This window comes from Homo sapiens, chromosome 5, assembly GCF_000001405.40.
Source record: "Homo sapiens chromosome 5, GRCh38.p14 Primary Assembly".
In the NCBI taxonomy this organism is placed as follows: Eukaryota; Metazoa; Chordata; class Mammalia; order Primates; family Hominidae; genus Homo; species Homo sapiens.
In genome coordinates this window covers 160,298,019-160,313,452 of record NC_000005.10, presented here as the reverse complement: position 1 = coordinate 160,313,452, position 15,434 = coordinate 160,298,019, and the positions used below count along the sequence as shown (strand labels likewise).

The 15,434-nt window shown below is 47.4% G+C and overlaps 1 protein-coding gene across 7 annotated transcripts in view, besides 2 other annotated features; it reads left to right on the top strand.

Annotated features, from left to right (window-relative positions):
- CCNJL (cyclin J like) overlaps positions 1 to 15,434 on the top strand; it is a 90,488-nt gene that overhangs the window by 26,118 nt on the left and 48,936 nt on the right. For 5 of the 7 annotated variants that reach the window (NR_177110.1, XM_017009847.2, NM_001308173.3 and 2 more), the window contains exons 1-2: positions 889 to 1,089; positions 1,481 to 1,595. The exons of 1 other annotated variant lie outside the window; for it this stretch is intronic. Coding sequence is in view for 4 of the 6 variants with exons in the window: in XM_017009847.2 (XP_016865336.2) it covers positions 1,530 to 1,595 (66 nt within the window). In the remaining 2 variants the exon portion in view is untranslated. Of the gene's footprint in view, positions 1 to 677; positions 709 to 888; positions 1,090 to 1,480; positions 1,596 to 15,434 lie in introns of those variants that run through there. One more of the 7 variants, XM_011534646.4, reaches the window with a different exon arrangement.
- Positions 671 to 730: a silencer, noted in NCBI's record as "silent region_16583". NCBI's record gives its function as "represses an Ori minimal core promoter by ATAC-STARR-seq in GM12878 lymphoblastoid cells {active_cell/tissue: GM12878}" and the evidence as "EXISTENCE:reporter gene assay evidence [ECO:0000049][PMID:35858748]".
- Positions 841 to 960: a silencer, noted in NCBI's record as "silent region_16582". NCBI's record gives its function as "represses an Ori minimal core promoter by ATAC-STARR-seq in GM12878 lymphoblastoid cells {active_cell/tissue: GM12878}" and the evidence as "EXISTENCE:reporter gene assay evidence [ECO:0000049][PMID:35858748]".

Sequence of the window (15,434 nt, the reverse complement as noted above, 5' to 3'; positions counted from 1 at the left end):
GTGATTATCCCTTTACACGCATTATCTCCTTTAATTTTCAGCAGGTTGGTTTAACTTTTATTTCCATTTTACACACGAGGCTCTGAGTTTGAGGAACTTGACAAAAATCACCCAGTTGGTAAGTGGATTTGATTCCAAATTTGTGAATCTCCAAAACTATCACAAAAATCAATCAGCCAAGAAGGATAGCCCAATGCTATGCCATCAGATGGGCTGACTCAAAAGGATGACTTTCCAAAAGCAAGCAATTGAATTAAAAAGACAATGTTTTCCATCCACCGGACCCGGCAAAAAAAGACTGGTTTTCCTCCAATGTGAGGCATAGTTCATATTCTGCAGGAGCACAATAATACCAGTGACTTAGGCTCCTTTAGAATTAGGGACTCGTGGGTGAACAAGGGTGGTTTTTCTGCAGCTTTCACTGGAATTGTCCGTTTGGAAATCTACCTCCCCATGGCAGGGCGGGTTTCAAAGAAGAGGAGAACAAACAAAAAACAAAAACAGGAAAAAAAAAAAAAGAGAGAGAGAAAGAAAAACAGGTGGAACCGACGTAAGGATGGCTAGAGCAGTGCGCGCGGAAGGCAGAACTTTCTGGGGGCGTCCTGTCCGCACGTTTCACGCGTGGTGCGCGCAGGTGGCGCCGCGGTCCCTTTGCTCCCTGCGCAAGCCGGAGGGGTGCCCAGAAGGCTACCACTAGCCTCAGCGAAGGTGAGAGAGAAGCTTTCCGCCGAAGCGAGGGAGGAGGGCGGGCAGGAAGCGGAGCCAGAGCTGGCAAAGAAAGGCTCCAATTCCCAGCCCCCCGCCCCGCGGGGCGCGGGGGCGCCGGCAGCGCATGCGCGAGGCCCGGCCCCCAATTCCCCCAGCGAGGGAGGGAGGCCCCCGGCGGCCGGGAGCCTGCGAGCCGCGGCGGGACCCGAGCGCACGCAGGGGCGCGGCGACGGCGGGGGCTAGTCGGGCTGCGGAGGCGGCCGTCGGGAGTGCGGAGCGCCTCGGACGAGGGTCCAACCGCCGGCAGGCACCAGAGGGCACGGCTGGCTCGGCACTGGGAGGGGCCCGGCGCTCGCAGCCCCCCACGCCCAGAGAGGATGCGTGAGTTTCGCCCCGGCTCGAGGGCAGGATGTGGGAGCAGGACAAAGGCTGGGCGGCGGGGGAGGAGTTGGGGACGGCGAGCCTGTGGCCGCCGCCAGAGCCCCAGCCTCGAGCGAGCTAGCGGAGTTGACAACTTTCTCTGCAACTTTTGCAAAAGGGAAGATAAAAATTCTGCAAGTTGTTGCACAGCTCCATATCGCCCCGTGTCCGGCGAGCAGAGGGGAGGGGGCACCGCAGCCTTCCGCGGACCAGAGGCGACCTCCAGCTCCTCTGAGCGGCGCAGGAGGGGGCGCCCGCCGGGGCCCGGGGCCAGGGGCGAGAGAGGATAGGGACACCGGGGGTCGGAGCCCGGGGTACGCTCTGGCCGCTGAAGTTGCCCGTGTCCACGCAGGGTGCGCCCTGAGAGCCGGGTAGCCTCGGATAGCGGCGCTGCGTACGCGATGATGGATGAGCCGTGGTGGGAAGGGCGCGTCGCCTCGGACGTCCACTGCACCCTGCGCGAGAAGGTCAGTCCCTCCCTGCCCTTGTCACTCTCAAGACTGGGTACAGTCTCCTTCGGTCTCGACTTCGTGTTCTCAGGTCGCCTGCGTGGGAACTCAGAACTCCCGGGTGCCTTTTTTTCCTCTTACCCTTTACCTTCTCCCGGAGTGTCTGAGCGGAATTGGGGGGCGGGGGTTAGAGACTGGAGATGGGAGAGATTGAAGTTGGTTTTTCTGATAAGGAGCTCAGAACTCTGGGCCAACTAGTCAGAGACAGCCACTGTACCTCTAAGGCAGTGTTTCCTATAGTATTGCCACCCTAGGTTATTTTAAACCGTACGTGAAGGGGTCTTTAAAAAATATTGTGTATTCATTCTAATGTGTAATTTAAGAATGTGTATGTATCTAGCAAGCTCTGCGTTTGCGATTTTCCATTTATTGTAATAATGATGTCGCAGTTTATTTTAAAACAAATTTAAGTAAAAGTAGTAACTCTATATAAAGATAAGTGGTAGTACAGGGAATACATGGTTATGGCCAAATACGTGTATCTATGTGTATATCTAGAATGGGACCGAATGAAATTTAAGGAACACCTGTATAATTGAAAGAGGCTACAAAACAGGGAGGCTGAGGGAAGAAAACAAAAACTCCCCTGCCGGTTTGCCTCCTGTGGCAGAAGGTGGGTGGGAGCAGCTGAAATGTGATCCCTGCACACCCCTCCCCTCAAGGAGAGAAGGGCTGAGGGGCATTGGGAAGGTGGAAGAGTCCAGGTGGGCTGGAGGCATGGCCTGTGTGTCTTGCCTCCAGTCCCTGGGCTGAGATTGGCAAGGGGTGGCTTGGGGAACAGGTGTGAAGTAGTGAATGGATTGGTTTCCTAGGGCTGCCATTACAAAGGACCACACAAACTGGAGGGCTTAAAGCAACAGAAATTTATTTCAGCTCTGGAAGCTGAAGATCCCAGATCAAGGTGTTAGCAGGGCCATGACTCTCAAAAGGCTCTAGAGAAGGATCTTTCCTTCTTCCTTCTTAAATTTGCTGGTGCTTGGTCATCCTTGGCATTCCTCGGCTTGTAGGTACATCATTCCAGTCTCTGCCTCCACTGTCACATGGTGCTATCTGTCTGTCTGTTTTCTCTTCTTACAAGGATACCCGATCATTGGAGTAGAACCCACCCTAATCCAATGTGATGTCATCATAATTTAATTACATCTGAAAAGACTCCATTTCCAAGTAAGGTCACATTCTGAAGTTCCAGATTAACATGACATTTGGGGGGACACTACTGCGCCCAATACAGGGAGGAAAAGGTCTTCCTAGTGCAGTACCTGAGCCCCCACACAGGTTTCACAGTCAGTGCATTTGCTCCGAGTGTCTGGAGGAGTTCTGCTTAAAGGGTCACCAGCTACTCAGTGTTTTTACCTCATTGAGTAGCTGTCTTCCTGTCCAATTAATGCCTTTTTCTTTTCTTTCTGTACCTGCTGACCTGTCTTTGTCCTGCGTTGCTTGGCAAGGCTGTGGCTTTCATCTGTTCCCTTGGTCTTCTTCCCAGAACAGAGTGGCCAACGTGTGGCACATTCTAGGCATCTGGACAAGAAGAAATCCAGGTCTTGTTGGTTCAGTTGAAAAGCAAGGAAAGTGGTAGGGGTATGGTCCTGGCCCTTTTCTGGAGGAGGTGGCTGAATGGAGCTAGTGAGGACTGCCGTGGAAATTGGGCTTCCTTGTTTATCATAGACTCAAGTGGTTGTCATTTCTGCTCATAGCTTAGGAGGAACGACTTCTACCTGATTTGCCCCTTTCTAGAGGGAAGGATTTCTAAGAGCAATAAATGCCATTTGTTTAGTTACCTGAGAATGCCCAACCTTTTATACATAAGGGAGGATGTCCTAAATGTTCCTTCGGCTGCTCAAAGAAGCAAGAAAGGCTCCATGAACTGCTATAGCCATGTCATAGTGCCGTATGAGTTTACTATTGGGCTGCCCACCTCGGAGAGACGATGAGTTTGTCCCAGTTTTGCAGGTTAGAAATAGAAAGCTCACCCAAGGACTGATGGCCAAGGTCAACCTTGACTTAAAGCTGGCCTTATTAGGACAAATCCCAAGTTCCTTTGGTTATAATGTCCCACCTCCTCAAAATACTGCTATTGTTCTCCTTTACTTTATTTCCTCTCCCACTTCAAAGAAGAAAATGCTTCTTCAAAAATTTGGCTTCATGGAGTTTGGCAAGAAGAGTGAAGAATAGGGGAACTTAGTAGCCATACTAGCCTCGCCTTTCTTGAGGAATGAGGGCTGGCATTTTGTTTTTCTCAGACAGGGTAATTGTTTTTCTCAAATGTCTACTCTGATAATATGTTTCTAACACTGTAGAACAACTTTACAAGAGCGTGGCACACAGTAGACACTCTTAGTTGAATGTTGCCTGATGAATACAAAGCATGTTTACATATGTGCTGTGTAACTGTTTCCATACAACCACAAGCAATTATCCTCACCTGACCGACACAGGAGGCGAAGTTGAGATCACTGAGACGTTGGGAGCCCCAGTTTGTCAAATATGAGATTCCAGTCTGGCATCATACTACAGGGTATCAAAAACTTGACACCATGGAAACAAGTCTTGGTACTGCATGCACGCTAGTGATGGAAGTGAAACCCTGATCTGCTCATTTAACCTCTCTAAATCTGGCCCCTATCATCCATTCTTCCCAGAATAGCCAGAATTTAGATTGTGTCATTCTCTGCTTAAAGACCTCCAATGTCATCTCACTGCACTTAAAATTCCCAGTCCTTACCACTGCGTGGAATACCCAGCATAGCCTGGCTCTGGCCTGCTCTCTGACCTTGTCTCTTACCCCTTCCCTACCCTCCATGCCATTGCTCTTAAGCCACACTGACCTCCTTTCTGTTCCTGGAACAAGTCAAGCTTGTTCATGTCTCAGGGTCTTTGCACTGGCTCTTTCCTCTATTTGGATTCTGTGTTTCTCAGACTCTCACATGGTTGCTTGTCTCCCTTAATCTATTGCTGCCTCTCCATGTCACTCTATTAAATCACCTTGCTTTTTCTTTGTAGCATTTACCAGGATCTGAAGTGTTTTTCTGTTTTTTGTTTGTTTGGTTGGTTGGTTTCTTTGAGACGGAGTCTCACTCTGTCGCACAGGCTAGAGTGCAGTGGCACTATCAGCTCAGTGCAACCTCCGCCTCCCGGGTTCACACCATTCTCCTGCCTCAGCCTCCTGAGTAGCTGGGATTACAGGCATGTGCCACCACACCCAGCTAATTTTCGTATTTTTAGTAGAGACGGGGTTTCACCTGTTGGTCAGGCTGGTCTCGAAGAACCCCTGACCTCGTTATCCGTCAGCCTCGGCCTCCCAAAGTCCTGGGATTACAGGCGTGAGCCACCGTGCCTGGCCTGAAGTTATTTTTCGTTTGTTTGCTGCCTTTCTTCCCACACTAGAATACATGCTACACGAGAAGAGACCTGTGTCTGTCTTCTTCCTTGCGGGGGCCTCAGTGCCATGAACACAGCTTCCCGATGTGTATGGAATGACAAGGAGAATGAATAAGTCAGTCTTCGCTTTCCTCTTCTGTAAGCTGGGAGAAACGTTTTACAGCAATGTTAAGATTAAGTGAGATAACTTAAGAACAGTGTGAGGTGCATGGTGGGTACTTGGCAGGCATTGCACCTCTCCACTTAGGGTTGCTGCAAGACAGTGATGGCCCGTTCACATAGTGCTGCTCAGAGTAAGGCTTAGGGTTTGTGACCACCCTCCAAGGGGTCCACAGATGTGATGGGTAATCCTTGTAAGAAAGGCACTGTTAGCCACTTGGACCATTGGTCCTATGATGGTGTTGAAGTCAGGAAAGGGACTAGTTCACCAAAAATCATGTATCTACTGAGGGCTGGGAACCAGGAGTGAGACCCCATTGGTAAGACCCTCTAAGCAGCCTGGCATCCCAATGGGTGAATGTGGGGAGTTGAACCCTCCTCCAGCCCAAATTGCTCTGGAGAAATCTCTCCCTCCCCTTCCTGTAGGCCACCTTTATCCCATGCTCAGCCCTTAAATTCCTCCTTGGATCCTTCTTCCTGTCCCTGCTGCATCTGCAGAAGCCCACCTAGGACCCCGCTCCCTTCAGCTCCTCTGACCTTTCTGCTGGGGGTGGGAGTGCCAGCCAGTACAGGGATGTGGGGTTTCTTGCCTGCTACGTGTGCCCCTTGACCCTCTTCCCTGAACCAAAAGGAGGAGTAGATTGTCACCAGGCTGGCGTCACCAGTGAGGAGGCTGCTAGTGATGTTTTTCTGGTAACCAAGTCTGTGCCAGGTCTGTCCAGATTAAAACTCGGGGCCATTTGTTTTTTTCTTGAAAGATGCATCCACCTAAGTTTAAAATTAATAGGGTGTTGAATCCAAGAACTAACAGATTTTGGTGAGTGCTGGTTACACATGATGGAACGAGAGCATTGGATGGTATGCAGCTTGAGGGCCACGTTCCTTGTCCCTTAAGCCTCTCCTTTGTCATGTGTCCTGGCCCCACCCTCATCCTTGCTTCTTTCACCATCTTTGTCACCCTGCATAGTGACTTGTCCTACCCACTAGACTGTGAGCTCCTTGCAGGTATGAGGTGTGCCTTGTTACCTTGGCATTCCCAGACCAGTGTCTGAGTCAGAGAGGGACCTCAGGGTGTCCCCCACCTCACCTGATGCAGGCACAGGCATTGGGAGTGCACAAAAGAGTGAGACAGCCCCAAATGGACTCTTCTGGGAAATGTTGAATGAATGCTTGTGTGCAGGGATGCTTCCTGGGAATCCTTCATCTCGTCTTCGGCATCTGCCAGGACAGTCTTTGTGTGTGTGGGCACAGCATTGACTGTGGTGCCCAGCACAGGATCTGGTTGATGGAGGATGCCACCCCAGCTTCCTACAGACCTGCATGTTCTCCTGTCAGGTAACATGGGGCAGGAAGTTAGAAAAGCAATTACCTGCAAGGGCAGATTTACTGGCCTGGACCAAAGTACAGCTTAAGGATCTTAGGAAAATAACTGCAGGTTGCGCCCAGATAACAGAAATGTAGATAATTCCTCCCAGACTTCTAACAGGAGGTCCTGTTTTTCTTCCTGAATTTTCTGAGCAGCAAAGTAGATAGAACTTGCACTCGTCTCCTTTTGATTTATGCCCATTTTACACATAGTCTTCCCTCTCCAATTAGAAGGAAATAGTTATGTTAGTAAGCAAAGACACACACCACTGTGACTTAAGGCTTCATGAGTGTGTAGAAGACTTTCTGAATACAGGGATTTCTGGAGTTCTTAGGGGAAAAAAATCTCCCTCCCAAAGCCATGTTGATAAGCTCTGCTTGACATGAGCTGGTAACTTTATCTTCCTGGGCTCCAGGGAGCCAGGGGCTAGGGGCTCCCTCCTTCTCGTCCACTGGGTGTTTACCTTCTCCCAAGACGGGAGTCATGTGATACCTTAGGGGTCTTCTCATCCTGCTCCAGACTTGAGATCTGCAGGGCAACCAGCCACCTAATGCATTTTTTCCCACTTCCTGAAGCTTACTTCATTGCACACTCAGAGGACTTCAGCTCTGTGAGACCGCTTTTTTTTTTTTTTTTTTTTTTGAGACGGAGTCTTGCTCTGTCACCCAAGCTGGAGAGCAGTGGCATGATTTTGGCTTACTGCAACCACTGCCTCCTGGGTTCAAGTGATTCCCCTGCCTCAGCCTCCCGAGTAGCTAGGATTACAGGCGCACACCACACCCAGCTAACTTTTGTATTTTTAGTAGAGGCGGGGTTTCACCATGTTGGCCAGGCTGGTCTCTAACTCCTGACCTCAGGTGATCCGCCCGCCTTGGCCTCTCAGAGTGCTGGGATCACAGGCGTGAGCCACTGTTCCCGGCCACATTTCTTAAACCAGTGGACAGATAAAAGATGTTTGATTTGTGACTGAATCTATGCAAAGATCTTCCAAAACATGAACAGCAAACATTTCGTTTAGTGTTGATAATGTTAGTAGCTACTGTTTATTGAGCACTTTCTAGATTTCAGGCAGTGTGCCAGCATGCTCCCATATATTATCTTATTTACTCCTCACTTTGGCCCTAGTGTTAGGATTAACCCCAGTTTACAGACAAGAAACTGCAAGGCTCACAGGAATAAGTGTCTGAGATGAAACCGCGGATTGTATCAAAGCTTGAACGTAAATTCATTTTAAAAATATCCAATTTAACACAAAGTGGAAATACAAAGCAGGGGAAAATTGAGGTTCTGTCATCCATGACACTATAGGCTCTTGTGTTTTAGTTTGTTTTCTGGCGCTCTCCAACGGATGTGCTCTCTCTAAACCATCCTGAGAAGCCAGCCGCTATGGACGTGGGCCTTGCTGTGGGCATTGGAAAGGGCTGATGACTAGGCCAAGGTCGCCTTTATTTGGCCCTGGTGAGTGGCCATGCCTGGACCTCACCTGTGTGTGGTGCCTCTCCCCTCAAAGTGATTTGGCCTCTGCCATTGCCTGTCCCTAACTTGCCAGGGAAAAGGACACCTCAGGGCCCCCCCGCTTGCCGAACTCTGACAGCTGGATAGTGGTAGAAATTCATCCCAGCTTCATCCTCAGCCCCTGTGTCAAAACTGCATTATTTTTTTAGTGACTCCTGAAGCTTGCACGTCCTTTTATTTCTCTCTTTCAACATCAGTATTTTTTTCTCACTCCTTCCCCTAAATTCCTCAAATTTCCCCACTTCAAGGCTGAACACCTGTCTCCTTATAGAAATCAGTGACCTGGCCAGGCGCGGTGGCTCATGCCTGTAATCCCAGCACTTTGGGAGGCCGAGATGAGCGGTTCACGAGGTCAAGAGATCGAGACCATCCTGGCCAACAAGGTGAAGCCCCGTCTCTACTAAAAATACAAAAAAAATAGCCGGGCGTGGTGGTGTGCACCTGTAGTCCCAGCTACTCATGAAGCTGAGGCAGGAGCATTGCTTGAACCTGGGAGGCGGACGTTGCAGTGAGCTGAGATCACGCCATTGCATTCCAGCCTGGTGACAGAGCGAGATTTCCTCTAAAAAAAAAAAGAAAGAAAGTAGTGACCAAGGTCCATACTCAACAAAGGGCTCATGGATTTGGGTAGGTCATCCTCCGCTTGGTTTTTCCATTCCCTTCCCCTCCTTTTGGATTTCTGCATCCCTCAAGGGAAAGTTCCCCCCAAATCACAAGATGCCCCCAGATCTACCAAAAAGAAAGTGTTCCAAACTCTGGCAGTGGGATGTGTCTGCCCGGCTTAGTTACAGGAATGTGTCATTCAGGCCTTTCAAGCTCAAATGCTGGCTTTGACAAGCTCTTTCCTCCTCTAATGGCAGGGCTATCTTATGTTTGCAGTCTTCAAGTGAGACCTGAAGCAGTCTGCCCTCATGACCCCCTGGAGATGAAGGTGTGGGGGTTCATAAAATAAGGAGAAATTTCCTGCAGTCTAACCTGCAGAGGTGATTCAAGCTGTCTTAGAAGGTGTATACAGAGGATGGAAGATGGACTGGGAAGAATTGAAAACCGCAAATGAGGTTGGGGGACAAGATGGGCTGCCACTCAAGATAGTGTCTAGCTTTGAAACTGACTGCAGTGCTTCACCCGTATTCTCGAGGAATCTGGTGACAAAACTGAACCAGAACTTGGCGTTGTCACTTGAGTCTTTTAGGTCTTAGAATACCAAAATGCTCAGTGTGTGCACGATACCCAGTCAAGACATGGTCTCAGTGCACCTTATCTGTGGCAGAAGCAAATTACCTTTGAAGGCTTCCTTTCCTCTGCAAAATCACGACAGCAATCCCTGCCCCACCTGCCACCCAGGTGTCCCAGGGAGAAAATGGGTGTGGGTGTACCCCATCAATCTCCAGGGCCTCCACATCATGAGATGGGCAAGGGACTTGGCTGGGCACCCTGGTTGGCTGGGGAAGCCTGTGCTAAGGGAGTGGAGGACATTTAAGACTTGGAGCTGGCCCTGTGCCCTTGTCATTGACTTCTTCTTTGTCTTCCTAAATCACACAGTCCCTCGGGTAAAGGGAGTGCAGCCAGCAGTTCTCTAGTATATCTGAGCACCTGGCAGAAAGAGGTGACACTGCGACTCTGCTGTTCTCTCTTTTTCTTTTTGAGTTATTACACACACACACACACAGACACACACACACACACACACACACACAGACACACAGAGGATTTGTTTAAGAAATGGCAAAAATGAATACAAGCAAACAGAAGAAAGTAAAATTCCCCTCACAATCCTACCACTTGGAAACAATCTCTGTTGACATTTTTGGTGTGTGTCCTTTACTGTGTGTGTCATCACAATACATTTTTATTTTGGATTTTTTTTTTTTTTTGTAAAAATGGAAAATACCGGCCGAGTGCAGTGGCTTACGCCTGTAATCCCAGCACTTTGGGAGGCTGAGGCAGGTGGCTCACTTGAGATCAGGAGTTTGAGACCAGCCTGGCCAACGTGGAGAAACCCTGTCTCTACTAAAACTACAAAAATTAGCTGGGTATGGTGATGAGTGCCTGTAATCCCAGCTACTGAGGAGGCCGAGGCAGGAGAATCGCTTGAACCCGGGAGACGGAGGTTGCAGTGAGCCGAGATTGCACCATTGCGCTCCAGCTTGGGCAACAAGAGCAAAACTCCATCTCAAAAAAAATAAATAAATGAAAAGGAAAATACCTTGTCGTAAAACACTTTATCTATTTCCCATATACATTTTTCCATATCATTCTTCTCCACCCAATTCCTGATTATTGGACACTAGCAAAAAATTAGAAACAATCAATTGTTTGTTTAGAACAGATAACACATGAATGTGATTTTGTAAAACCACGCTATACAAAAGAGTAGATGATGGAAAGGCTTCCTGCCACCGTTGTCCCCAAATTTCCCTCCGCAGAAGATACCACTGACCCCAATTTCTCGTGAATCCTATTCTGTGCATAAGAAAGCATAAATTACGTATGCTTTGACAGAGAGGTAGTATGAATTACACACTTTACCATTTCATTATTTTAATGTTTATTTTATTTTATTATTATTATTTTTTTTTTTTTATTGAGACAGAGTCTCACTGTGTTGTCCAGGCTGAAGTGCAGTGGCATGATCTTGGCTCACTGCAACCTCTGCCTCCTGGGGACAAATGATTCTCCTGCCTCAGCCTCCTGAGTAGCTGGAATTACAGGCATGTGCCATGACGCCCAGCTAATTTTTGTATTTTTAGTAGAGATGGGGTTTCATCACGTTGGCCAGGCTGGTCTCAAACTCCTGACCTCAAGTGATCCGCCCATCTCAGCCTCCCAAAATGCTGGGATTATAGGAGTGAGCCACCATGCCTGGCCTCATTATTTTAATGTGTAGATTTTAATAATCTAAATAACTTTTATGAAACCATGAATAGAAGGGATTTTTGATATATTTCGCTAATTGTAGCAATAATGATATATAGTGGGCACTCAGGAAATTTATATTGAACAAATGAATAGAAGATTTCCTTTTGGTCATTTTCTTTTCAAGTATATACATTTTATTTTACAAAAATACTATCAAGTATATCACAGTTTCATAACTTTTTTCCTTAACTGCACGTGCTAAATAACCTTCTATGTCATTTTCTGTCCTTCTGCAATCCAATGCATAATGTTTTATGGATACATCATGATTTCACTAACTCATCTCATTGTTGGATATTTAGGGGACTGCTTATTCATTTTTTAAAAATTGAAGTATAATTTATATACAGTACAATATACAGATCTTAAGTGAATATACCGTTTATAGTGTACAGTGAGTTTTGACAAATGTATATACTCATGTAACCACCACCATAATCAAGACATAAGGCCAGGCACGGTGGCTCATGCCTGTAATCCCAGCACTTTGGGAGGCCGAGGTGGGTGGATCACATGAGGCCAGGAGTTCGAGACCTGCCTGGCCAACATGGTGAAGCCCCATCTCTACTAAAAATACAAAAATTAGCTGGGCGTGGTGGCACATGCCTGTAATCCCAGCTACTCGGGAGGCTGAGGCAGGAGAATTGCTTGAACCCGGGAGGCAGAGGTTGCAGTGACCCAAGATCATGCCACTGCACTCCAGCCTGGGTGACAAAGAGAGACTGTTTCAAAAAAAAAAAAGACGACCGGGTGCGGTGGCTCACACCTGTAATCCCAGCACTTTGGGAGGCCGAGGCAAGTGGATCACAAAGGCAGGAGTTCAAGACCATCCTGGCCAACATGGTGAAATCCCATCTCTACTAAAAATAAACAAAAAAATTGCTGGGCGTGGTGGCACATGCCTGTAGTCACAGCTATTCAGGAAGCCGAGGCAGAAGAATCGCTTGAACCCGCGAGGCAGAGGTTGCAGTGAGCCGAGACTGTGCCACTGTACTCCAGCCTGGGTGACAGAGTGAGACTCCATCTCAAAAAAAAAAAAAAGACATAGGCCATTGCCATCAACCTAGAAAGTTCCTCATCAGTCCCATCCTGCCCCCAGCCTTAGGCAATCACTGATGTGCTTTTTGTCCTTGTAAATTAGATTTGTCTTTTCTAGAGTTTCACATAAATGGAGTTATATATATGTACTCCTTTCTGCCTGCTCCTTTTTACTTAATGTAATGCTTTTGAGATTCATCCATGTCGTTGTGTCTATCAGGAGTTTATTTCTTTTTATTGCTGATTAGTATTCCGTTTTATGTCTATAAAAATTTGTTCATCCATTTCCCCACTGAATGCCTTTTTGAGTTGCTTCTCGTGCACCATTTGATTTTATATAGCACTGCTGTGGTGATCCTTGATTTATATCTGTCAGTATGCTCAGGAATAAGTTCCTAAAGTGGAAGCCCTAATCACAGGGTATGATTTTAAGAACCTTGCATATCACCAGGTAATACATTCCCACAAGATTGCGCTAGTATACTTCCAGTGGTGGTATGGAAGAGTGCCTGCTTCCCAGCAACTTTGCTAACCCTGGATATTACCCTTAAAAAAAATTAGTACCATTTGGATAGGTTAAAAATGGTGCTGAATGGCTGTGTTTAAAAGGAGCAGGAGCCGGGCATGGTGGCATGCACCTGTAGTCCCACCTACTAGAGAAGTTGAAATGGGAGGATCACTTGGGCCCAGGAGTATGAGGCTGCAGTGTGCTATGATTATGCCAGAGTGAAACCCCTATCTCTTTTTTTAAAAAAAAGAGTGGGAACCTCGAGTGGGAAAATGACTAGAGCGGGGGTGTCCAATCTTTTGGCTTTCTTGGGCCACACTGGAAGAAGAATTGCCTTGGGCCACACATAGAATACACTAACACTAACAATAATTGATGAGCTAAAAAAAGAATCACAAAAAAATCTCATAATGTTTTAAGAAAGTTTAGGAGTTTGTGCTTGCCACATTTAAAGTTGTCCTGGGCAGCATGGGGCCCATGGTCTGTGGGTTGGACACGCTTGTGCTAGAGGATGGCAAGGCGAGAGGAAGGGAACTCTGAATCCTTTCTAGGCTTCATGGAGCCCCATCTGCAGCACGGAACTGGGCTGAGACCTGCATCAAGGGCTGGATGAGGGCTGTTAAGGTGACCTGGCTGGAAAACTCCTCCAGCTCCCTCTTAGTCCCCGCATTGCAGTGTGTGCTGCCCCTGGTAACTGGATCCTTCGGAGGCAGAATTTGAATCATCCTGAGGCACTCAGTGCCTTGTAGGTCCCTGGAGCAGATGGTTCCAGGCCCTGGGCATTCTTGTGACATGGATACCCATGCCATGCCGCCAGCTGCTAAGTCTGGAAGTGGTCATCAAGTGATTTGGGTGGAAGGGTTGGGGGGACACGAGGAGGAAGGAGAGGATGTCATTCAGAACAGAAGCATCGGGAATTGGATAGATTCAGTTATTGTAAGGGAAAGTTGGAGAGAACTTCAATGGCATCAGAAGGAAATTGGCCACACTGCGGTCCGTCCATGCATGAAAATATGGTGCAGTCATTAGACGCAACGTGGTAGACAGCGTTGGTGTGCAATGGACTTTTCTGATTATTGTAAAAAAAAAAAAAAAATCCAAGCAATTCAGAGCACTTCCGACTCTTTGGAGTGAACCATTGTTTTTTCCTTAACTTTTTATTGTGGAAATTTAAAAAGATAACACAAATGTGGAAAGAACAGTAGAATGAGTCCTCACATACCCACCACCCAGCTTCCTCACCTGTTTCATCTGCTCCCCCAGACAGTGTGTCATTTTACCCATAAATGGCACTACCAGATAAGGGCTTTTTTTTTTTTTAACATAACAACTATGCCATTTTCACACCTAAAATAATTACCAATAATTCATTAATATCTTCTGTTGTCCATTCCTCTGTTGTCTCAGAAATGGTTTTTATAGTTGTTCACATCATAATCCAGATAAAGTCCATGCATTACATTTTTTTTTAGCGTCTTTTAAGCTGGGCATGGTGGCTCACTTCTATAATCCCAGCACTTTGGGAGGCCGAGGTGGGTGGATCACCTGAGGTCAGGAATTCGAGACCAGCCTGGACAACATAGTGAAACTCTGTCTCTACTAAAAATACAAAAAAATTAGCCGGGCCTGTTGGCAGGCACGTGTAATCCCACCTACTCGGGAGGCTGAGGCAGGAGAATCGCTTAAACCCGGGAGACAGAGGTTGCAGTGAGCCGAGGTCACGCCATTGTGCTCCAGCCTGGGCAACAAGAGGGAAACTCATCTCAAAAAAAAAATTTTTTTTTAAATTAGCTAGGCATGGTGACACACACCTGTAATCCCAACTACTTGGAAGGCTGTGGTAGGAGGATTGCTTGAGCACGGGAGGTCCAGGCTGCAGTGAGCCGTGTTTATGCCACTACACTGTAGCCTGGGTGACAGATCAAGACTCTGTCTCAAAAAATAAATAAATAAATAAATATAAAATACGTAAGTGTTCTCAAGTATTTTACTCTCCAATGGTCCCCTACCCTGCCTGAAAATATTTTTTTTCATGCCATTGATTTTCAGAGAAAACAGTTTGATTTGTCCTGATAAATGTCCTATATTCTGGATTTGACCTGCTACCTCCTCATACTGTCATTTAACTTGAATTCATTGTTAACAGATTGGTTTATACACTTCGCTAATGTTGTGGGATTATAATATGCTTTAGCCTACCTGTTTTCTAGCTGTAGACTCAAGCTGTTGTCCATCGCTTCCTCAGAGAAGCCGTCCCTGACTCCCAGACAAGGACGGGCTGGGCCTTTTGTATGTTCTCAGAGCACCCTTGGTGATTCCTTAAGCACTTAGCACAATTTGTAATCATACACCTATTTCTGCAATTATTTGTTGTAGAGCTAGCTCCCTCCCCAGACTGTAGGCCCAGGGGAGCAGGCGCTGGGTCTCTCCAGCTCTCAGCAGAGTGTGTGTTGCATAAGAGTCCCTCCATCAGGATTTGCTCATCACTGACACCTTATCTGACTGAAGTCTGTGCTGTGCAGCCCGCAAATTGCCTTCCTGGACTTCACTGTCGAAACTGTCTTTTTTTTTTTTTAAATAGAGTCTCTCTCTGTTGCCCACACTGGAGCGCAGTGGCGCAACCTCGCTCACTGCAACCTCCACCTCCTGGATTCAAGCGATTCTCATGCCTCAGCCTTCTGAGTAGCTGGGATTACAGGTGCGCACCACCACGCCCGGCCTCAACATAGTCTTGTGGGGTAGGTAGCATGGCTACCAGTAACTCCACCATGTACTAGTAGAAAAATGGCTTCTGAGGGGTTAAATGTTTGACCAGAGTCCCCCTTTTAAGCAAGGTAGTTAAAGCCTTAATATTTTGCGGATCTGCTGTCCCCGCCTGACCTTAGATAAGGCACACATAGAGCAGAGGACTTGC